The 22,300-nt window shown below is 49.5% G+C and overlaps 2 protein-coding genes across 15 annotated transcripts in view, besides 8 other annotated features; both read left to right on the forward strand.

Moving 5' to 3' along the window:
• FAM120A (family with sequence similarity 120 member A) overlaps positions 1–8,084 on the forward strand; it is a 114,428-nt gene extending 106,344 nt beyond the window's left edge. For 4 of the 11 annotated variants that reach the window (NM_001439102.1, NM_014612.5, NM_001439103.1 and 1 more), the window contains 4 exons: positions 553–690; positions 3,081–3,222; positions 4,180–4,276; positions 6,201–8,084. In NM_001439102.1, coding sequence (NP_001426031.1) covers positions 553–690; positions 3,081–3,222; positions 4,180–4,276; positions 6,201–6,512 — 689 coding nt within the window. In that variant the 3' untranslated portion in view covers positions 6,513–8,084. Of the gene's footprint in view, positions 1–552; positions 691–3,080; positions 3,223–4,179; positions 4,277–4,976; positions 5,536–6,200 lie in introns of those variants that run through there. The other 7 variants (NM_001439104.1, NM_001439105.1, NM_001439106.1 and 4 more) reach the window with 3 other exon arrangements.
• Positions 8,385–8,804: a silencer, noted in NCBI's record as "silent region_20047". NCBI's record gives its function as "represses an Ori minimal core promoter by ATAC-STARR-seq in GM12878 lymphoblastoid cells {active_cell/tissue: GM12878}" and the evidence as "EXISTENCE:reporter gene assay evidence [ECO:0000049][PMID:35858748]".
• Positions 16,863–17,458: an enhancer, noted in NCBI's record as "H3K4me1 hESC enhancer chr9:96337173-96337768 (GRCh37/hg19 assembly coordinates)". NCBI's record gives its function as "activates a minimal SCP1, AML or CMV promoter by ChIP-STARR-seq in primed H9 embryonic stem cells {active_cell/tissue: H9 hESC(primed)}" and the evidence as "EXISTENCE:reporter gene assay evidence [ECO:0000049][PMID:30033119]".
• Positions 17,459–18,053: an enhancer, noted in NCBI's record as "H3K4me1 hESC enhancer chr9:96337769-96338363 (GRCh37/hg19 assembly coordinates)". NCBI's record gives its function as "activates a minimal SCP1, AML or CMV promoter by ChIP-STARR-seq in primed H9 embryonic stem cells {active_cell/tissue: H9 hESC(primed)}" and the evidence as "EXISTENCE:reporter gene assay evidence [ECO:0000049][PMID:30033119]".
• Positions 17,735–18,014: an enhancer, noted in NCBI's record as "active region_28624". NCBI's record gives its function as "activates an Ori minimal core promoter by ATAC-STARR-seq in GM12878 lymphoblastoid cells {active_cell/tissue: GM12878}" and the evidence as "EXISTENCE:reporter gene assay evidence [ECO:0000049][PMID:35858748]".
• Positions 18,115–18,174: a silencer, noted in NCBI's record as "silent region_20048". NCBI's record gives its function as "represses an Ori minimal core promoter by ATAC-STARR-seq in GM12878 lymphoblastoid cells {active_cell/tissue: GM12878}" and the evidence as "EXISTENCE:reporter gene assay evidence [ECO:0000049][PMID:35858748]".
• Positions 18,285–18,584: a silencer, noted in NCBI's record as "silent region_20049". NCBI's record gives its function as "represses an Ori minimal core promoter by ATAC-STARR-seq in GM12878 lymphoblastoid cells {active_cell/tissue: GM12878}" and the evidence as "EXISTENCE:reporter gene assay evidence [ECO:0000049][PMID:35858748]".
• The window catches only part of PHF2 (PHD finger protein 2), a 103,004-nt gene continuing 99,259 nt past the window's right edge, over positions 18,556–22,300 (forward strand). For all 4 annotated transcript variants that reach the window (XM_005252051.3, NM_005392.4, XM_006717143.3 and 1 more), the window contains exon 1: positions 18,556–18,843. In XM_005252051.3, coding sequence (XP_005252108.1) covers positions 18,746–18,843 — 98 coding nt within the window. In that variant the 5' untranslated portion in view covers positions 18,556–18,745. The remainder of the gene's footprint in view (positions 18,844–22,300) is intronic.
• Positions 19,175–19,334: a silencer, noted in NCBI's record as "silent region_20050". NCBI's record gives its function as "represses an Ori minimal core promoter by ATAC-STARR-seq in GM12878 lymphoblastoid cells {active_cell/tissue: GM12878}" and the evidence as "EXISTENCE:reporter gene assay evidence [ECO:0000049][PMID:35858748]".
• Positions 20,196–20,345: an enhancer, noted in NCBI's record as "active region_28625". NCBI's record gives its function as "activates an Ori minimal core promoter by ATAC-STARR-seq in GM12878 lymphoblastoid cells {active_cell/tissue: GM12878}" and the evidence as "EXISTENCE:reporter gene assay evidence [ECO:0000049][PMID:35858748]".

The raw sequence follows: 22,300 nt of genomic DNA on the forward strand, positions 1-22,300 counted from the left end.
ATTCCTGTGGGTAACAGATGCCAGATTCCTGTAAAGAAAGTGCAGCCCTTATAGGCAAGCCCATCTGCTGTGTTGACCTTGTCACTGTTGGTCTTGGAGATCCTGCAGCAGCAGTTCTTCAAGTCCGTGAGGAGCAAGTTTAATCCTGGAGATAGGGGAGAGGGACCTGCTGATGCAGATGCAAAAGCTGCACCGTAAAATCTGTCAATCAAGCTGAAAACTCTGCTCACATTTTAAGATATATTTGTTTCTCATGTGTAAGGGAAAATAAACCCACCCAGGTCAGAGAGAGCCATCTTCCAGGACTCATCTCCCAGGGCCCTTCCTGAGCCCCATGCTAGTGCCCTGTTGAATGACCCACTGCAGGGAGGGTGGCCTTACAATACTGGTCCCCAGGGACCATGGGCACAGGACAGTGAGGTGACAAGAGGGGCCAGGAGACCCCTCCATGGCAGCTGGAGGAGGCAGGGGCCACTCTGCCTGAATACCCAGCAGGGCCCTGAGTCCTGTCCCTTACACTTCTCCCCTCTCTCTCTACCCCGGGTCCCACAGGCGTCTGTGGCTTTGGAGGCCCCTATGGGGAAACGGTAGCAACAGGCCCTTACCGTGCCTTCCGTGTGGCGGCAGCATCGGGACACTGCGGAGCCTTCTCAGGCAGTGACAGCAGCAGGACTAGCAAGTCCCAGGGCGGTAATTATACCCACCCCTTCCCAGAGCTTCTGCCTGCCAGCACTTCCTTCGCTCCATCGTCTGGCGCCTTCCTTCCTCTACTGTCCTCATGAGCCCCTCCTCCAGCAGAACGGCCTTTCTTCTGGGTCCCCGCTCTGACCCTCATTGACCACTCCTCCTGAGACTCTCTGCTCTCAGGTCTCAGCAGCGGCTCTGCTGTGGCCAGTCTCTCCTTTCAGGGTAGACCACTGAGTGTCCACCTAGAACAGAACCTTTCTGTGCACCTGGGTAACCTGACCATCGCCTCGTGTTCATAGGATGAGCTGCTAATAGTGGCGTTTCTTTCCCAAGCAGCCATCTTTTGGTAAAGATTATCATGCTTGTATAGAAAATGCTAATGGTCACAGAATTCCTGACATAAAAAGTCTGTCACAGTTTGTTTCGCAGAAACATTTTTAAACAAAGATCTAATGTTGGGCATATAAACAAGGCAGTTTACTGTAGATTCCCAGTGCTTCTCTTTGCATTTGTATTAGGCTTGCAAAAGAGAAAAGGGTCTTAACATTTAGCATAGGAAGCAATGTCTTGTGATGGTGCTGTAATTGGAAGTCAGTGACCTGTATCTTTGTCCTAATCCCACATTTTGGGACTGCAGATCTAAATCTGCCCATCAAGTCACATAACAGGATTAACTGTTCAGATGTGATTTTGGAGTTGCATTGAGGATGGGCAAGCCTTTCTCTCTTGATCAACAATGTTTTTCCAACTCAGTTACATGGGATAGTTAGGGAGGCCAGCAAGGGAACTGTGCGGAAAGGTGACTTGCAGATTTGGCGACGGGTCAGCCCCTCTGTCTGCAGGTCACCTCTCCTTTCCCTGGTGCAGCTGCATGCCTCTCTGCCTCCTCTGTCTGCCCACCAGCCTCCTGCAGTGTGCTACTCTGCTCTGTGACTGCTCCTCATGCAGCTCGCAGCCATGTTTCCTCTCTGCTTCTTGATTTGCTTCAGCTCCTTCTAGTGCCTTGAAACTGAAGCTGGCCTGTAGTTGGGATCAAAGATGGAGGGAGAGGGGAGATTGTACTATGGATAGTGTAGGGCAAGAAGTGAATTCTTACACTGGAATGATAAAAGGAACCTGCTTCCTGAGTTTCTTAAAATTGTGTCTGGAACTCAGATTTGCACTGCCTAGTATAGTAGCTGCTGGCCACTGCTCTGTTGAGCACTTAAGCTCTGGCTAGAACATGTAAAATACATATCAGATTTTAAAACTTAAAATGGGAAGCAGACTAAAATAGCTAATCAATTTTTTATCTTGGGCCAGGCACAGTGGCTCATGCCTATAATCTCAGCATTTTGGGAGGCCAAGGAGAGAGAATTGCTTGAGGCAGGAGTTCAAGACCAGCCTGGGCAATATAGTGAGACCCCTGCCTCTACAAAAAATTTTAAAAATTAGCCAGGTATGGTGGTGCACACCTGTAGTCCCAGCTACTCAGGAGGCTGAGGCGGGAGGATCGCTAGAGCTGGGAGGTCAAGGCTGCAGTGAGCCGTGATTGTGCCACTGCACTCCAGCCTGGGTGACAGAGCGAGACCCTGTCTTAAAAAAAAAAAAATCTTGACTACATGTTGAAATAGTATTATTTTGGATACATTGAGTTAAATAAATACATTTTTAAAACTTCTTTCCTCTGTTTCTTTGTACATTTTTCATGTGGCTACAAAAAAATATAAGCTTGTTGTAGGTTTCTGTTGGACAGTGCTGAATTGCCACAGCTAACACCAAGATGATAGTTGTTTATTATCCATTCTCACTGTCAGAAAACAAGATGCTTGGGGCTCTGGTTTTGTTTGCTTATTTTTTTGTTTTTAAACAGAAGTTTTGCTGCCAATTAGCAATTAGAGAATTTTCTTAGGTCAGAAAACTTACAATTTGCAGTAATCAAAAGAAGTTAGTAAATTCTATTTGTGACTCTGCTTATGGAAATTCTAATTTAAAAACACAGTAAGAAATACAGGCTAGATTTATTGATTCTATGATGTTCAGTTAAGGTAGTAAACCTAGAAGTATTCGCCTAAAGAGAAAAACATTCTTGAGTTTGCAGATTGCCATCTTGGTAATATAGAAGGCATGCCATATGCACCTGATGACACTTTATTGTATCTGTTTCTATCTAAAAAGCCTTGCACATTTGCAGTTGTAACCTAATTCAGTTCTCATGGGTTCTTCACAGTAGTTTAAAGTCAAACAGTGTGCACATAGATACACTACATAATAAAAAATTGTACAAAACAGGAGAAAGTAGCTTCATAGTAAATATAAACCAAAACTGAAAAGAAGTTTCTTGCTTGTATCTTTTTGCTATTCTTAATTCTGTGATTGTAAAGATTTTGTCTTTTTGTATATTTTTTATGCAGGAGTCCAACCTATACCTTCTCAGGGAGGCAAACTAGAAATAGCTGGCACTGTGGTTGGCCATTGGGCTGGGAGCAGGCGGGGCCGTGGGGGCCGGGGGCCTTTCCCCCTGCAGGTGGTTTCTGTCGGAGGACCAGCTAGAGGGTAAGTTCTGAGCCACGAAAATGTCTTTTGTATAAGTAAAGAAAACAGCTTCTAACTTGCTTTTTTTTGGAAGTTTAAGTAGGAACATTTTTATATCATTAGATACATTCTTCTTTAATATCATTTGTATTTAATTATTTAGTTTTTATTTATTTATTTATCTTAAGATGGGGTCTCACTGTCACCCAGGCTAGAGTGCAGTGGCACAATCACAGTTCAGTGTAGCCTTGACTTTCTGGGCTCCATCGATCCTCCCACTTCAGCCTCCTGAGTAGCTGGGACCACAGTCATGTGCCACCATGCCTGGCTAATTTTTGTATTTTTGGTAGTGACAGGGTTTCGCCATGTTGCCCAGGTTGGTCTTGAACTCCTGAGCTCAACCAATCCACCCACCTCGGCCTTGCAAAGTGCTGGGATTACAGGTGTGAGCCACTGCACACAGCCTTTAACATCATTTATAATGTTTGCATAGGATCCCATTTATAGTATTATGTAATTATTTAATTAACCATTAAATAATTAACAATTATTAAATAATTAACCATACAATTTTCAATTAACCAGGTGCCTTAATATTTTTAAAGTATTAGTTTTCAAATCAAATGCATTGGATATGGGAGATGTAGCTCAGGGGTAGAGCATTTGACTGCAAATGCATTGGATATGAACCAAAAAAATAAGATTGATTCCTTGGAATAAATCTTCCCTATGATCATACTTAACCTGTTTACGCCTAGTGTTCCATTATTGGAACGCAAAGCATGTGGGAGTTCTTTATGTCCTACTGCTCAAGGTCTGACTGCAAAAATTCAACAAATTGCAACTTCCGGCATAAATGGGTTAATTCAGTGCTTCATAAAACGTAAGATTGGATGGCTTTAAAATCATTTGATACTATTTTAAATGTTGTCTGTAACAGATTTAAGTGTTTACTGTTGTCCTTTTTCATTCATTTAGGCGTCCAAGAGGAGTTATTTCCACCCCAGTGATTAGAACATTTGGAAGAGGTGGAAGGTACTATGGCAGAGGTTACAAAAACCAGGCAGCAATTCAGGTAAGAAGACAACATGATGTTTGTGCCAGTTCAATGCCCTCAGGGATGTCTCCTGTCTGAGCTTGCACTTCTAGTACCTGCGCTCAGACAGAAGAGCTGTGAGGGTAATGCTTTAGCTGTCAAGTGTCTAACACAGTAACTGGCACACAGCTGCTCACCAAATGTCCATTCCCTAGAGCCCAGATCATTTTGCTGTTAAGTGCCTCTTCAGGTTGTCTCTCCCCTTTGCCATGACCCTGTGTCTCTGGTAGCTTCCCGCCTGGTGTGACACGATGGGCTTGGCTTACCTTGGGCATTGCCTAGCCCTGACAGAGCTGGAACAGCCACTTGTAGTTTCTTTTTTTTTCTTTCTTTCTTTTTCTTTTTTTTTTTTTTTTTGAGATGGAGTCTCGCTCTATTGCCCAGGCTGGAGTGCCGTGGCACAATCTCCGCTCACTGCAACCTCCACTTCCCGGGTTCAAGCGATTCGCTTGCGTCAGCCTCCCGAATAGCTGGGATTACAGGTGTGTGCCACGACACTCGGCTAATTTTTGTAGTTTTAGTAGAGTTGCAGTTTCACCATGTTGGCCAGGCTGGTCTCAAACTCCTGACCTCAGGTGATCCGCCCGCCTTGGCCTCCCAAAGTGCTAGAATTACAGGCGTGAGCCACCATGCCCAGCGGTCCTGCTATATTTTTATGTTTTATATTATTTGTCTCAAGGTTCAAAGAAAATGACGATTGCATTGATTCATGGAGAAGGGTGCGTTAATATTTCTGAACTTTAGGGTTGGAAGGTAAAATAGAGGATGTTGTAGGAGAGTATGTGGGGACCCTTGGTTTATGGGGGCCATTCCTTAGGCAAGGGTCACATCTCCATCTGGGTTGATGATTTTGTCATCAACAAGGCAAATACCCTGGTTTTCAGAATGGGAGGCCTAGAAGATGCTGGAAGGTACCACCATCTTTGTTGGGAAGGGAATGCGATGACGAGCTGGAAGGTTCCTGTTCTCGTCTGTAAAATGACTGTTTGAAGGTGAAAAACATCCATGTTTTCTTCAGCACCGAGTCAGTCTATGACAGTGGCTCTCAGCCCTGGTGATTGGCCCCCAAGGGACATTTGGAGACGTTGATTGTCAAGACTTGGTGTGGGCACTGGATTTTAATGGGTGAAGCCTAGACATTTTAACGGGTGAAGACAACATGATGTTTGTGCTGCTAAACACCCTACGGTGTGTGGGACAGCCCCATCACGGAGAGTGGACAGAGCCAGCGTATCATATGCTAAGGTTGAGGAGCCCTGGTCTAATGATAGGAGCAATTCAAGATCTGTCTTCACTGCCTTCACAGAGAGCCATGTCTTTCAGAAAATGTGCTGGATTAGTCTCAAGGACCATTTTTTTCAGAGGCTTATTTTTAAATCTGTTCAGAGGAGTGGGGAAGACCCATTCAGAAGAGTTATTTCACAAACACGTGGCAATTATCAGTGCAGATTTCTTGTTAAGGTTCCCTAGCAATGACTGTATTTCCCCAGTAGAAATGGGGTGTGTGTGCTGCTGCACATCACAGGCAGATGTGGGAGACCCTGTTTGTTTTGTGGCAGTGGGAACAGTCGCAATTTTAGAGAGGACTTATTGAGGGGCATTTGTTACTTTAAACAATTTAGTGCCATACAAAGGATTAGACAGAGCTCCTGAAGGGGGAATCTCCCTCATTTTCAGGGTGTTAACTACAGAGGAGTTGAGGGAAGGGGCCATGGAGGGAACTGACTGAGACAGGTAGAGCATCTACCGCCCAAAAGTCAAAGCAAAGACAGGGTTAGAAGGACCCAGCTGGGCATTTTCTGCTCTTGAATCTGCAGAGAGTGTCATTAGGCCAAAATTGGCATCCTCTCTCTTCTGTTTATCAGAAACCACCTTCTCATTTGTTGTCCTTCATTTTAAACAGGGCAGACCTCCTTATGCTGCTTCAGCAGAAGAAGTGGCCAAAGAACTTAAGTCAAAATCTGGGGAATCGAAGTCCTCTGCTATGTCTTCAGACGGGTCCCTGGCTGAAAACGGAGTGATGGCCGAGGAGAAGCCGGCTCCCCAGATGAACGGGAGCACGGGTGACGCCAGGGCCCCCAGCCACTCTGAAAGTGCCTTGAATAATGACTCTAAAACGTGCAATACAAATCCTCATTTAAATGCACTAAGTACAGACAGCGCTTGCCGCAGAGAAGCTGCTCTGGAGGCAGCTGTCTTAAATAAAGAAGAGTAAACTTATTTTTTATAGAGGGTGAAGGATGCTGGAAGGGTAAGGATTTAGGAATATCTGGAGAGAAAGAGAGCCTGCAGTTATGTACATTTTGTCCTTTCCGTAAGAGAAAAATGAGGACTTTGGAAATTCAGATCCCTCTTTGATATCAGAGATTTAAACAACACATTTTTAGTTTTAACCAGTTGTAGTCAAAATGCTACAATAAAACAAAAAAGAGAAAGAAAATGAAGAGCATTTGACTCCCGCACTTAAAATGAAGTACACATAAAGTTTAAACTGGTTATGACAAAAGCCTTTAGTTGTGTTTCTTGAACTATAAAGAAAACAAATTTTGGCAGTCTTTAAGTATATATAGCTTAAAATATAATTTTTAGCATTTGGCACCATATGTATGCCATTATATTTGATTTTGCATTACTGTTTCACAATGAAGCTTTCTTTAAGGCTTTGATTTTTATGATTATGAAAGAAATAAGGCACAACCACAGTTTTTCTTTCTTAAATTTCATCACTGTTGATGTGGTTCTTTTGTGTTAAAAAAAAAAAGTGCAACTATCAAAACTAAAAAATTATAGAGTAATATTGCCGTTCTGCTGATTTTAAATATACAATACATCATACATACTTTACAAGCAAGTTAAATGGAGATAAAGTTGAAATCATAGAAGATGCAAATGACCTTTCAAAATCAACACAATGTGTTCTGAAACTTTCGTGACTAATACCATGCATCTGTGATCAATGAACTATGTGGTTTTGAATCGGATGTAGACCATTAGTACTACTACTTGAGCTAAACTTCTGCATGGTTCATAATTTTTAAAGTGTGTAGTTAATATGCATGTTATCGTCCTTTCTTCCATTCTTAACAGTATGTGCCCATTTGCAAAACAAAAATGCTAATAATCAGTAATAGTCCTATAAAAGATGTTAACTCTGTTTAGTCATTGACTGATCTTGCTCTAACCTTAAAATTTTGTGATTATTGACCTCTGTTGCATTTATTCTAAAGCCCCCCAAAAATTATCTAGCCGTTTCGAATATCAACATTACCCTGGTGTATTCACTGCTGTATGCATTATTGTTCTTTGTTGCTGTTTTATGCCTTCATATTAGCAAATATGAAATTCTGTGAAAAAAAACCCTTTGATCTTAAAAAAAAAAAAACCACCCCCCCCTTCTGTAGCAGGAAACAAATTGCTTGTTCTTGAGAACTTTCCCATCAAGAATTTAGTAGAAGCAGGTATACTTCTATCATTTTGATGTTTTTGTTAATGTTTCCAAACAATGTACTTTGAAATCAGAATCACTTCTTATCGTTTTCATATACTTCTGATGCTCTTCATCACATTAGTGATCAGAAATGAGGTGTAATTCCCCAACCCCTGCCCGCAAGAGCTAAGTAGGATCTTACTGTAAGTTGAAGGGAGTTTTGCCCTAACTCATGGATTGTGCAAGAATGAACTGCTGTTGGGTTTGATTGACTGTCGATGGATTGTGGTGTGGTGTATCTGAAGGCTATTGAATGCAACTTACAATGCTTAATAAAAATCTTTATTCTTTTAGTATAAAGTATGGCGTGGCTTTTAAATTCACTTGTAAAAGCTAATTTTATAGAGGTTTAATTCAAATCGAAACAACTACTGAAAAGATCAGAAAACCAAAGTTGAAAAATATTTTACCTTTTCAAAGTAATTCCAGGTTTCCGGCTTAGAGGGACATTAATATATGATTAATTTGTTTGATAGCTCAGTTTCAAGCAACCAAGGGGATAAAAAAATTCTGTTTGATAAAGCAGACTTACAGAAGAGGTTTTTTTAAGCCCTGAGGAAGCAATAAATTTGACTCCACCACGTTTTAAAAGCTGGATGTTACAAGTATAGTCCGTTTTTCATGCCATCCTTTTGACTGAAGGCTCTTCTCTGCAGCCTGATATGAGGTCCCCGTACCCAGGTCCGCCGAGCGCCTGGAGAAAGCGCCCCGTGCTGCCCTCTAGCGGGGGATGGTGGGCTAACGGCGCCGGAGGCGGCCAGGAGAGCTGCGGCGATCCCGCTCCAGGGAGGGGCTGGCGCTCGCCCGGGGGCGCGTTTCCTTCCTGTGGAAGGGCGGGGCGGGGCCTTGCGTGGCGCTTCCCCGTCCGCCACCGCGCAGGTCCCGGTGCGCGCGCAGCCCGCGAGGCGGGGCCGTGTCAGTGAGGCCTACTCCCAGCTTTTTCCTCCCGGAGGCTGAGACTGCGCCGTTGAAGCCGGTTCTCTGTGCGGGGCCGGCGCCGGGCCCAGCAAAGACCCGAGTGCCCCGAGAGAGACCGAGCAGACCCTGGGAGCCCGAGTCCCAGCAAGGCCCGAGCCGAGCCAGTTTCTCCAACTAGCAGCCTGAGAGCGCTCTTGGTCCTGGCTGTTCAGACCCCAGACGAATTTACCCCTTCTTTTTATGGGGTGGGCCTTCAGAGTTTGAAGGAAGTGAAGCTAGCCTCGCTCACTCCAGGGCCTCTTCCCACCCTGACTCGCCGGTTCCTGACGGTGGCCCGCTGTTCCGGGGCCACGGCTGAGTCCCTCTGCGCCAGCCTCCCGGTGGCGGGCCAGCCAGCCCCTTCTCTGTGCTGTGAGAAGATGGGGGCGCCCGGACGCTCCATCTTTCAAAAACACCATTCCACTGAGGACCCTGCCTGTGACGGGAACCAGTCTAACCCACTCTGGATCGCACGTGCCTGGCAGAGGGACAGCGTTGTGGAGGAACACTTTCCAGGCCCACCAGCTTCCACCATCCATTGCTAGGCAGTACCTCTCCCACCGTGACAACCACGCGCTTTTCTTCCCTCTCTCAAGGGGCAGGCCCACGCCACTTGAGAATAGCAAACTGACAGGGAGAGCCCTCTGGCTTTAAGAGGGGAGAGGGACAGGTTTCTGAACAGTACAGTCTCAGCAGCAGGAGCGCGCGCATGTCAAGGGTCCCTCTCTGCTCCCTGACAAGCAGGTGCTCCTTCTTTCCGGTGGTTCTCATCTCTTAGTTGCAATTGCTGTAGGTGAGAGAGCAGCACAGCTTGCTTTAGGTCACTCTCAGCAGGGACTGGGCTGGAACCCAACCCTTAGCTCCAAGTTGGGTCTGTCCACCCGCTCCTGAAGCTCCAGTAGGTGCAGGCGTGGGCATTAAGGAGAGAGGAAGGGAGAGGGTGCTGGGGCTCCGGCGACCCTGTGGCTGGAACAAGGAGGCCAAGGACATCCCTCCTTGCTGGAGCCATGCTGGCCACTCCTTCCACACCACCAGAATTGCAGAGGAAGGCCCAAGGGCGATGCTGTCATGGGCCCAGGGGTCAGTGGCTGTGGGTGGCACTGGTGCGGGCTGGACTGAATGGTGATGCTGGTGTTTCTCCTTCCTGGCAGCATGATATCCTGGGGCAAGTCGTATGTTCTGCTGCCTGGCCATTTATCCTCTTCCTTTTCAAAAAAATAGGTTTTACTGATTTTTTTTTCTTGTTTCAAAAGCAATATGTGTTTATTGTGGTAAGTTTAAGAAATACTGGCTAGATACACAAAAAGGAAAAGAAGTCCTCGGTAATTCCCCCATCCTGAGACACCTGTTTTTAACATTTGGTCTCTCTCCTTCTATACAATATATAGATTTTTTTCTTATACAAAAAAAATCATGTTAATATTTTGTAACATTTTCCCAACTTAGCATCATTTGATGATTGCCTTTCCCTACCATTCCATATTCTGCCATAGTTCCACAGACTCCACGGTGGGGCTGCATCGTAACGTATTCAGTCTTTCCCCACCAGCATGGTTGGACATTACCTTGTTCTGCAAGCACTTGCGGAGAGTCCGTGTCAGGCCCAGCCCTAGGCCCCATGGGACAGAAGATGTCAAGGCCCCTGCCTTTCTGGCATTTACATTTGAGTAGGGGGACAACATACATGTGTACAAATAAGAATATTTCAAGCAAGAAAATGAGAAAAGATGGGGAGATGGGTGGCATGGGCAAGTGATGCAGCCATGAGTGGAGGCTATCTGGGAATACAGGTCTGGGCCAGGAGCAGCGGATGGAGCACCCAGCCAAGGGGAATCCATGGAGAGCGGAGAAGCCCATGGCCACCCCGAGGACAGGGCTTGCTGTATCCTCCAGTGCTGTGGTCTGTTGAAGGCTTTGAGGCAGGACGGGTTGTGCTTGGATGCCCAGTGGGCTCCAGGTATCCATGCTACCCTGTAGGTGAGTCTTGTGAGGACCAGTGTCATTATTCCTGGTTAGCATTTCATCAGAAGAATCTCCCAGTGGGGAAGGGTGGGGGAAGGGTGGGGGAAGGGTGAGGGAAGGGAGTCTTTTGGTGCTCCTGCTGATTTAGCTCCGGAACGCTGCTTGGTATCCAGGGTCCAGGAGCTCTTTGTCTGTACTAGCCTGGCTGCTGGGCACAGTCAAGGCACTGGTGTTTGCCAATTTGACAGGTTAAAAAATGGGTTTTTATTTGCATGACTTTGATTTCTAGTGAGGGTGAACATTTCCCCTCTTACATTTAATTTGCCCATAATTTCTTCATTTTTCAATTGACAGGGAACTTCTAATGTCTCTCCTGGCTGTTTTATGATCTCCCAAACAATCAGGTAAGAATTTTAAGAAATAATTCACTGTCTATACCTTTCTCTATACCATCAACAACAAGGACCAAGGTAGTGTTAGGCTGCTCTGCTTTCCAGGACACCCCTCCTTGCCCTGCATTCCTTCTCCCTGCTCAGAGGGAGCCTACCTCTGCACTGCATGGGGCAGACAGCAGAATACAGGTGTTTTATGATGGACAGTAACCTTAGGGGTGACTCTCATCCCTCCCTCAGTTTTATTCTACTTTCAGTTCTTCTGAGAATGCAATACTTTCTTGTTAGCCTCAACTCCCTACCCTTACTCACTATATCTTGGACAAAAGTCCTATGCTACTTGGCTCCCCACGTTGTGGAGTAGATGGTGCAGAGGCCTTTTTGCCAGGAGCCTGCTGCTGGCCAGCCTGGCAGCCCTGCCCTCATCCACCCCACCTTTGTCCCCAAGCTGTCTGGTTACTCCTCCCTGTACCCCAGGGAAGCTTCCAGTCTTGGCTGTAACACAGCCCAGGCTAAGTTGACCAAAGACCTGCACATGGGACAAAATAAGCTTTTCATTAATGTGCTTTGCCCTGTGCTGAACTGGCTGTGGGACTTCACCAGAGTTTGTAAAGGACAGCCATGTGAAAACGCACTCAAGAAAAAAAAAATGCAACAGCAGTGGTAATAAGTTCTATGAAGGACAAATGCAGAGGAAATGAGGAACTTACATGGGTGGGGGTAGGAGGAAGGTGTCAGGGAAGCCTCTCTGAAGAATGACCTAGAGGGCAGGTGGGAGCTACCCAAGCAGATTCCAGGCACCTTGGGTGGACCAGGATGGCCACCCAGGATGGCCTTTTCCCAGGCTGTGCCCAGCAAGTTCCATCAGTTCAGGAAGCAAACAGCTGGAGGCACCTGTGCAGACCCATCCTGACCTCATGAAACCATGCCTACTCCTGGCATTTGTGAATGTCCATCTCTACAAACTCAACTGATGCCAGTATGGGCTATAGAGAGGGTCACATCAGTCTCAGTTTGCCCAGGATAGCCTCAGTTTGCCCCTGTTTTGGTGCTTTATTAACAGCACCCTTTTGGATAGTAGTAAATAATGTAGTCACCTGGCTCAGAGACTTGTCCACAAGCTCACTGCATCCAAACATCACAGGACCATCCTAGAGATGGTCAAGAAGGAGGGTCACTTTCATACCTGTCAGAAAAGCCCAGATGGCTTAAAAAATTTCCCCAGGTACTCCAAGAAGGGGCCCAGTATTTGAAGTTTCTATGCACTGACCAAATCAACTGATCTTTCACAAATACACACCCAACCTCAAGCTAGTATTTCCTTTCTAACATTTTCCACCCCCATCAATTATTAGTTACCTGTCTCTTGCTCTGGCCTATGGTATCTATGGAAGTAGGAATGTTTCTGCCTCATTCAGTCTATGAAACCTGCATTGGTTGTGTGCCAACAAAATAACCTAGATGAAATGGACAAATTTCTAGACATACAAAACTTACCAAGACTGAATGATGAAGAAACAAAAAATCTCAACAGACCTACAACTAGTAAGGAGATTGGATCACTAATCAAAAACCTCACAACAAAGAAAAGTCCAGGAACAGATGGCTACACTGGTGAATTGTACAAAACATTTAAAGAAAAATTAACACCAGTCCTTTTCAAACCCTTAAAGAAAATTGAAGAGGAGGGAATACTTTCAAGCTCTTTTGATGAGGCCATGATTACCATGATACCAAAGCCAGACAAAGATACTAGAAGAACACTACAGACCAATATTCCTTATGAATATTGATGCCAAAATCCTCAACAAAATACTTGCAAACTGAATTCGTAGCGTATTAAAAGGATCATACGCCATGAACAAGTGGGATTTATTCCCAGAATGCAAGGATGGTTCAGCATCCAAAAATCAATCAATGTAATACACATGTTAACAGAATGAGCAATAAGAACCTACATGGTCATCTCAATTAATGTAGAAAAAGCATTTAACAAAATTCAACACCCTTTCTTGATTAAAAAATTAAATACACTAGGAATAGAAGGAAACTTCCTCAACATAGTAAAGGCCATATGTGAAAAGCTGACAGCTAAAATCCTACTCAATGGTGAAAAGCTGAAAGCATTTTCTGTAAGATGAGGAAGAAGGCAAGGATGCCCACTCTCCCTACTTCTATTCAACATAGTACTGGAAGTACTAGCCAGAGCAATTACACAAGAAAAAGGAAAAGAAAAAAAAAAAGGCATCCAAACTGGAAAAGAAGTAAAATTATCTGTTCACAGATGACATGATCTTATATCATCATGTAAGATCATCAAGATATAGGAACCCTAAAGAGTCCACAGACATAAAACCACTCCAAAACCTATGAATTTGGCAAAGAGCAAGATACAAAATCAACATATGAAAATTAGTTTTGTTTCCATACACTAACAATGAACAATCTTAAAACAGCCAGGCGCAGTGGCTCACACCTGTAATCCCAGCACTCTGGAAGGCGGAGGGAGGTGGATGGCCTGAGGTCAAGAGTTCGAGGCCAGTCTGGCCAACATGGTGAAACCCTGTGTCTACTAAAAATACAAAAATTAGTCAGGTGTGGTGGCACATGCCTGTTATCCCAGCTACTTGGGAAGCTGAGGCAGGAGAATCACCTGAGTCTCACAGGTGGAGGCTGCAGTGAGCCGAGATCATGCCACTGCACTCCAGCCTGGGTGACAGAGCAAGACTCTGCCTCAGAAAAAAAAAAAAAAAATCTAAAAAGGAAATTATGGAAAAAAAATCCATTTATAGTAGCATCAAAAAGAATAAAATACTCAGGAATAAACTTAGTCAAGGAGACAAAATACTTGTACACTGAAAATGGAAAACTACCAAACTTTGCTCAAAGCAATTTAAAAAGAGACAAATAAATGAAAAGACAGCCTGTGTCTGTGGATTATAAGACTTACTGTTAAAAGGTCAATCTCTTAAAAGCAATCTACAGATTTACGCAATCCTTATGAAAATCCCAACATTGTTTCCTTGCAGAAATAAATTTTCTAAAGGAAAAATCCATTCTAGAAAACATGGAATCTCAAGAGACCCCAAGTAGCCAAAATAGTCTTTAAAAAAACAAAACAGAAAATAATAAGCGTTGATGTAGACGTGGAGTAACTGGAACTCTTTTTCATTCCTGGTGGGAATGTAAAATAGTATAGCCACTGTGGAAAATGGTATGGCAGTTCCTCAAAAAATACAAAAATTGAATCACCATGTGATCCAGCAGTTCCACTTCTGGATATATACCCAAAAGAAGTGAAAGCAGGGACTCCAACAGTTATTTGCATGCTAACATTCATAACAGCATTATTCACAACAGCCAAAGGATGGATGCCACCCAAGTATCCACTGGCAGATGAATGGAGAAACAAAGTGTGGTACATACATACAATGGGAATATTATTCAGTCTTAAAAAGGAAGCAAGTTCTGACCCATGCTACAGTAGGCATGAAACTTGAGGACATTATGTTAAGTGAAATAAACTGGTCACAAAAGGACAAATACTGTGTGATTCCACGTATATAAGATACCTAGAGGAGTCCAATTCATAGAGACAAAAAGCAAATGGTGGCTGCCAGGGGCTGGAGGAGGAGGGGCGTGGTGTTATAAGGGACAGAGTTTCCACTGGGGACCGTGGCAAATTTTCTGGAGATGGATGGTGGTGGTGGTTGCACAATAGTGTGAATGTACTTAATACCACCAAACTGTGCATTAAAAATGGTTAAAATGGTAAGGTTTATATCATGTATATGTAACCCCAATTTTGCCAAAAAACCTGCACTTGCACTCAACACATGTTTAGTGAATGTGTGAACCACAGGCCCTGGAGCAGGCTATGCTGATGGCTGGGTAGGAAGGGGAATAAAACACATCCATGCTGCAGCGGCACTGTCATTGCAGCACCAGGGTGCAGGTGCATGGAGGCCCTGGAGCTTGTGAACCCACTCATGCTGCACCTGCACAATGCCAGTCTGACTGAGGTTATGGGTAGGGACATCTTGACACTGGCATAGCCTCCTAAGTGCTGAAGTGCAGCTGAGCCCTGGGCAACATGGAGGGTGTGGTGGGCAGGCATTGAGGCACCGGGCAGTTAGTAGTTGAGGCAGTTAGTAGTTGGCTAACCACTAAGCAGAGGAGGCCATTGAGTTTGGGGCCAAAGGCAATGAGGTGCGGGAGGCAGTAAGATGCTACCTGAATTTCCAAGGCCACCGTCCTCCTCTCTGGGGCCTTTCCCTCCTTACCACCAAGCAAGAGTGAGTTCGCTATGGTCCTTACCCTCTGTGAGCAGTCCTATCCTGGCCTTTGCCCCCAGCTCACCTTCTCAGGGGAGTGTCCCTCTAGCCAGTGCCCTTCTTTCTCCCCAATCATCTTGTATGCATTGATGTATGTATTGACTGTCTCCCTTTATTCCAATGTGAACTCCAACAGAGCTGAGACTCTGCTGAGTCCCCAGTGTCTACAACACTGCTCAGGACACAGTAGATGCTCAATAAATACCTCAGTAGAGGAGTGAGAGAGAAGGAGGGAAGGAGGGAGGAGTGGGGAGGTGCATGTCCTGAAGGAGATGGAAAAAAGAAAGGGGAAGTCAGCTGGGCACAGTGGCTCACGCCTGAAATCCCAGCACTTTGTGAGGTGGAGGCGGGCGGATCACCTGAGGTCAGGAGTTTGAGACCAGCCTGACCAACATGGAGAAACCCCTTCTCTACTAAAAATACAAAATTAGCCAGCTGTGGTGGCACATGCCTGTAATCCCAGCTACTCGGGAGGCTGAGGCAGGAGAATCACTTGAACCCGGGAGGCGGAGGTTGCAGTGAGCCGAGATCGTGCCACTGCACTCCAGCCTGGGCAACAAGAGTGAAACTCCATTTCAAAAAAAAAAAAAAAAAAAGAAAAAGAAAAAACAAAAAGAAAGGGGAAGCCATAGGGAGAAGCCAAACAGAGGGAGCTTGTGGGCTTCTGATGACACTTGTTTTATCCCATAGATGGCAGGCAGCCATGGAAGGGCTTTGAACAAAAGGAATGTATCTGGTGGGCACAGGAGACCATCTGAAGGGCAGGGCTGGGAGGTGGGTGGGGTGGACACCCCGAACGACTAGCAGGGAGGCCGAGCTTCTCCAGACACATTCTGTGCGGTGGCTGCGGGGCAGGGAGCACAGGCCCAAGACTTGGAGACCAGCTGAGGGCTCCTCACTGGCTCCCACCCTCTGCCCTCTCACCAGGGAGCTGACATCCTCTGTCTGGCTGGATGTTTAATTGCTTAGCGCCTCAGTTTTCACTTCTGTGAAATGGCACTAATACCAATACCTAAAGGCACCAAAGGAGAGTCCTGAGTATGTAGTAATTGCCATCATGACCCAGGAATTTGCTAAGCGCTTACAAACATCTGGTTAGGTACTGGTAAAACCTCGTGAAGAACTGAGCCCAGGGCACTGTCCTGGTAAAAGCATTTGCTAAATGTTGGCTAACTACTGTCACTGTTTGTAAACAGGCTAATAGGAGTGTTAAGGGATGGGGGGATGCCCACATCAGGGCAGCCTCCCCTGCATCACAGCAGCCTCTAGAAGTTTCCAGCTTCATTTGGGCACTGCTCACCTGACTACTTTAGTACTGCTGTAAGGGTGAGGGAGAGTGTATCTATCAAGGAAGTGGGCACCACTCACCTGAAACCCGCCTTTTGGGCTCTCAACCTTCAGGCTGAGCATTCTATCTACATAATAGTAGACAATGGCTTAAGAGTTACTTCTTTCCCAGAACTTCAGTATGTAAAAAAAAAAAAAAAAAAAAAATTCCAGGCTTTCACCCAGGAGGAAGGGAACCAGTGACAACCGGAATTCAGGTAGGAAGGCCTATTGCAGGCCATCCTGGCCAGTCCAGAGGTGTGGGAGCTGGGGGTCTCCTGCTCTTTCCTCTCCCTCTATGGCCAGCTACTTCTCCCCCCGCCCCCTTCCCCAGTGCCCAGTGCTTTGGGCACTGCCCTGAGTCTGTATCCACGGGGTCACTTGTTGGGGGTGGGTGGCTGACTCTGAGGGTAGATTTTGGCTCAGTAGGAGGAAGGACCTTAATTGAGCCGCCTGCGGTGGAGCAAACGGCCCCTTGGCAGCTGCAGGTGGGCGGTGATGGTGAGGGGCTGAGGGGCTAAGGAGCCTTGTCATGGATGCTGCTAGGAGACTGAGCCAGGTTTCCTGTCCGGAGATTCTGGAATTCCGAGCAGGGGTGGCCCACATTTCCCAGCACGATGCGGATTTTGCTGAGGGAGGATGGGGAGAGAAAGAGGGTGAGGGAGGAAGGGCGGGCAGGGATGTGGCCCCTGCCCAGCGCGGATGCCCCAAGGATGCAGCGCTGGCGAGGCAGGGAAGTCCTCCTCTAGAACGCGTGCAAGTGACCCCTCAGAGCGCACCTCCGCTTCTCCTCCCCACCGTGGGGGCTCAGTTCCCTGGACACGGGGGCCAGGGTTCCCATACTCCTCGCCCCTTAGGTCACGGGCCTGGGGGGCTCAAATGCCAGGGAGCTCTCTCTTGACAGAGCTGACCAGCCCGGCCCCTTAGGTCACGGGCCTGGGGGGCTCAAATGCCAGGGAACAGAGCTGACCAGCCCGTGCCAGCGCACTCCCGGCCCGGGCTTCTGTCCTCTTCCTCTGGGGCTGAGCATCAGGGAAGTCCGCGGGATCCTGCGAGGGAGGCGGCAGTCCCCAGCCGAAAATGAGGGGAAAGAGGAAGTGGTGTCCCAACCAGAAACTCAGTGGGGAACGGAGGGAGGCAGCGCGGCCGAGGAGGAGGAACACCCCCACCGTGGTGGGGGTCAGAAGAAAGTTAGGGCCAAGTATTTGCTTGTCGGCCTTCTAGACTAGGAAGGCTCTCCTGCGGGCTCCACTCCCGCACCCCGCGTCTCTCCTTCTGCCTTGCCCGGGTTCCCCCAACTTATCTTATCCTCGGGGTCCCGCCCACCTTCTCCCCGGGGTCCCACCCCACTTTCAGTCTCAAGGCTCCCCCAGCTCACCTTCGCGCCCGCGGACCCCTGGGTCTACCTTCAGCCTTGGGGGCCCTTCTCGGCCTATCTTCCACCTTCGAGATCCCCCCACCCGCCTTCTCCCCCGGCAGGGTCCCCCCGGCCGTCTTCTCCCCCGGCAGGGTCCCCCAACCCACCTTCTCCCCCGCAGGGTTCCCCAGCCCGCCTTCCCGGCGGCGGGAGCGGCGGCCCAGGCCGGCGGGCGGAGGCGGCGCCACCCGGGGCGCTGACGTAGAGGCCGCTCGGCGGCCGGGGGTCCCTTCGGTGGGGCCGCGGCTCCCCGCCCGCCGCCCCCGCGCGTCCATTCCCTTTTGTGTCCCGCGCGCGGCCCGTCCCCCGCGCACACTAGCGCCCTGAGCCCCGCGGGCCGGCGGGCGGCTCCCGGCGCGGCCCCTCCAGCCAGCGCGCCCGGCATTGTGTGGACGCGCCTGGCCGGGAGCGCGCGCGGGGGCTGTCGTGCGCCCCCGTCCCCGTCCCCTCCCGGCCGCGGCGCCGCCTGCGCCCCGCCGCCCCCGCCGCCCCCGCGCGGCCCGGCCCCCGGCCCGGCCCGGACCGACCCGGGCAGCGCAGCGGCGGGGCCGAGCGGCGGCGCGGCGCGGCAACATGGCGACGGTGCCCGTGTACTGCGTCTGCCGGCTCCCCTACGACGTTACCCGCTTCATGATCGAGTGCGACGCCTGCAAGGACTGGTTCCACGGCAGGTGAGCGCGCGGCGGCTGCTCGGCTCGGCCCGGCCCGGCCCGGCCACCTTGCCCGACCGAGCCCCGCGCCCCCGGCTGCGCGCCCGCAGGCCCGGCTCGGGGACGGGCCGCCGCCGCCGCCGCCGCATTCCGGGCGCCCCGGTCGGGGCTGGGCCGTGCCGGGCCGCGCGCCCTTTTGTGCCCAGGGCGGGGGCGCCAAGCACGGGGCCCGCGCTGGGCGCCCCTGGCCGCCGCGCACAAAGCGAGGCCCGCGGGCCGGGAGGTGGGCTCGGGGCTCGGGGCGCGGGGAAGTTGGGGCTCCAGGCCCGGGCCGGGCCGCCTGTCAGCTGGGTCGCGGCGGCCGCAGAGGCCGGGCATCCGGAGGGAGGCCGAGGCCCGGAGCCCCCGCCGCCTCCCCCCTGCGAAGTTGCAGGAACTTTCCCCGCGCGGGCTCGGGGTTGGCCGGGCCGGGAGAAGCGGGCGCGCAGCCCGGCGCGGGTCCCGGGAGAGGCGCGAGTGGCGGGCTCCGACTCCGGCAGGGCTGGGGAGTCCGTGGGGGCTCCGGCGAGGTGGCAGCCGGCGCGCCCACCCTCCGCCGTGGCCGGCGAGCTCCCTTGGACCTTGTCCCCGAGGGCAGGACCCCTCCCGGACCCCCGCGGAGCAGCTAGACCCGGCAGGCCTGCAGGTCCGCGGGCAGGAGTGCGGTGACAGAATAGTGTCTGTGAGTTGGGTAAGGGGGGTTTGTTGTGGCTTTGCCACCTCCTCCCTGGCCTTCAGTTTTCCCCGTTTCTCTCCTCTCCGTTCCCGGCAGGAACGCCGGTTTTGACATGATCTTATGCTCCCTAAGGAAGATGGGGAGGGGGGAAGGAGGTAACGCTTGGAGACACTGAAAACCCCCGCCCTCTTGGCCCTTGCCGATGGCCATGACCTGGCCCCATGCCTAGGGCAGGTCCCTTCCCACCAAGAAGTAAATGGAGGAGGAGGAAGAGGAGGTGACAGTGTTGCCCAAACTGCTCCAACAGGTTCTCTTGCATCTGACTTTGCCTGTGGGATGTGTTTGGACCCGGGGCTGGCCAGGGCTGTATGCCCTCTGGGGCTCCAGTCCCAAACCACCGGCAGCAAGCAGCCGGGGGAAAGAGAGGGGTGTGTGGTGGTGGGTGGTCCGGGATTCTCCTTCCAGAGAGGAGATCCTCCTGCAGGTTCTAAGACTGGGTCTTCAAGACTGGTCAGTGGTGCTTAAGAGTGGGCTGTGGCCCCAAGTCCAGTCCTGCCAGTTTACATGTGGGGACCTGGGTGGCTGGGATGTGACAGGGCCTGCTATGTCTGTCAGCCCCAGTCCTGAGTCCTACCTCCCTGCTGTTAGAAGGGCCTGGGACTCTGTGGGGTGGGGATGCCCACGGAAATCTGGGCTGCCTTCCTGGGTATGCCCAGGGCTGTGGAAGCCCCTTAGAGCAAGGGAGACTGAGTGTGAACACCGGGCTCTGCCCAGAACAGGGCTGACATGCACACCCTCAACTGGCAGCCGTTGAGAAGTTCATGGCCGGGCCAAAGTGAGTGAGAGCCTCTAAGGCTCCTCATATCCAGGGATGCTGAGCTGCTGGCCCTGAAAAGCCCTGAAAGTGGTGGGGCCTCTGCCTTCTCCCCCATCTCCACCGGAGCCCTGACCTGGCGAGCGCAGTCACTCTGCTACAGAACCTTCTGGGCACCTGTGTCAGCTCCTGGCTGCTGCCCACACTCGGGGCCCAGAGTAGGGAGAGTGAGAGAACGCGAGAAGACCTTTGTCTCGCTGCTTAGGGGACCCTCTGGGAAGGGAAGGCTAGTTCTGAACTAGACTTCGAGGCCAAGGGAAAAACTCCAGGAATGAGGGGCAGGCAGGCGACAGGGGCTGAGAGCTGGCCTGAGAGCTGGTTGGTGTCATTTGCTGTATTGGCCCATGCAAAAAATCCCCAAAAGGGGGATGTCTGGGGAGGCTCTAGCTCCTTTTTTTCTTATTTGAGGTCTCTGATTGAATCCAATACAGGCAGTTGATCAGCACAGATTTATTCTCACCTATTTGGGGTGGCTGTGGGGTCTGAAAGAAGCTGTGCTTTCCCTCGGCCATGAAAGTCATTTTCTCCTGCATCTAACCAAGAGTCATCTGCCAAAGTGAACCCTACAGGGAGAAAGCCTCTGGGTGTGCCTGCTCCCCAATTGTTCTGGGCAGGTGTGTGATGGGGAGGACAGCCGTCAGGGGTTGGTGGTGTTGGTACAGCTCTCACAGCCCTGGGCAAATCCTTTGGTCTCTCAGCATCACTTTTCTTTTCTCATCAGTAAAATGAACGTGTGTGACCAGACCCCGGGGTTTCTCCACCTCCAGATAGTCTTGTATGGCCCCGGTGGTTCTTTCCTGATCTTCGTACCGCCTGTACTGTGATTTACTTCCTATTTAACATTTCAACTCTCTTTTTAAAAGTTTGAATACTTTTAAACTTTTTATTTTGAGGGGACTTTAGACTTACAAAAGAGTTCCAAAAATGGTACAGTTTCCCTGTATCCTTCTCTCCCTTTCCCTGCAGTGAACATCTTACCCAGCCATGGGACCAGTACCACAATGAAGGAGTTAACGCTGGTGCCGGGCTGCTGACTAAACTACAGGCTTTATTCAAATGTATTTAACCAGTGTTCCCCACTTAATGTCGTTTTTCTGTTCTTGGATCCCACCTTGCATTTAATCCTCATGTCTCCTTACTCTCGAAAATATTGCTTTTAAAAGGAAACTTCATATCATTTCCTGAAATAAAACATTACTGTAACTTACCATACACAGTAACTATAAAAATAAACACACAACTGTTAGAGTAAAATGCCTGTCTGTCCCACCTGTGGCCACATCACATTCTTCCAGCCAGCCCCGTTTTGGGGAGAATTGGAGAGAGGGTCTCTAAGTCATCAGCTACAGTCGCGGTGGCTGCGTCTTTGCTCTTGGCAGCTTTGGCGGCAGCCGAGAACTTGTTTGGGATAGAGCTTTGGCCATTTGGGGCCAGAACTTGCTTCTAGGGTGTTTGCCTACTCAGGGACTCTGAGCATCCCTCCCAGTGTTCTTGCCTTGGTGGGTGGGGCTGCCCCGCTGGCCTGGGTTGGGGAGAATGTTCACCATGGGGAGGGAGAATCGTTGTGTTCTATCCTTGGGGTCATGCATCCTGCATTCACTGGAGGGGAAGTGTGGAGTAGAGGTCGGGGAAACAGGCCCTCCTTTGAAGCCCCCCTCTGTCCTTGGGATGTGTGTCCCTTCACCAAGTTCTCGCAAGATTCCTCCTCCGGCCCCATCTTGACCGTGGCTCATCACTCCTGGGGTGGGGATCCTCGCCAGCCCAGCCCTTCTTCACTGGCACCGACTGGAGTGCTGTCCCAGAATGTGGGCTTTGACCTGGGAGGGATGGATTTTTGTGGCAGGACCTGGCAGGAGGCCGCTGGAGGCCGGTTGCCTTCGGAGGTGTCT

The sequence above is a fragment of the Homo sapiens genome, chromosome 9, assembly GCF_000001405.40.
Source record: "Homo sapiens chromosome 9, GRCh38.p14 Primary Assembly".
Classification (NCBI taxonomy): Eukaryota; Metazoa; Chordata; class Mammalia; order Primates; family Hominidae; genus Homo; species Homo sapiens.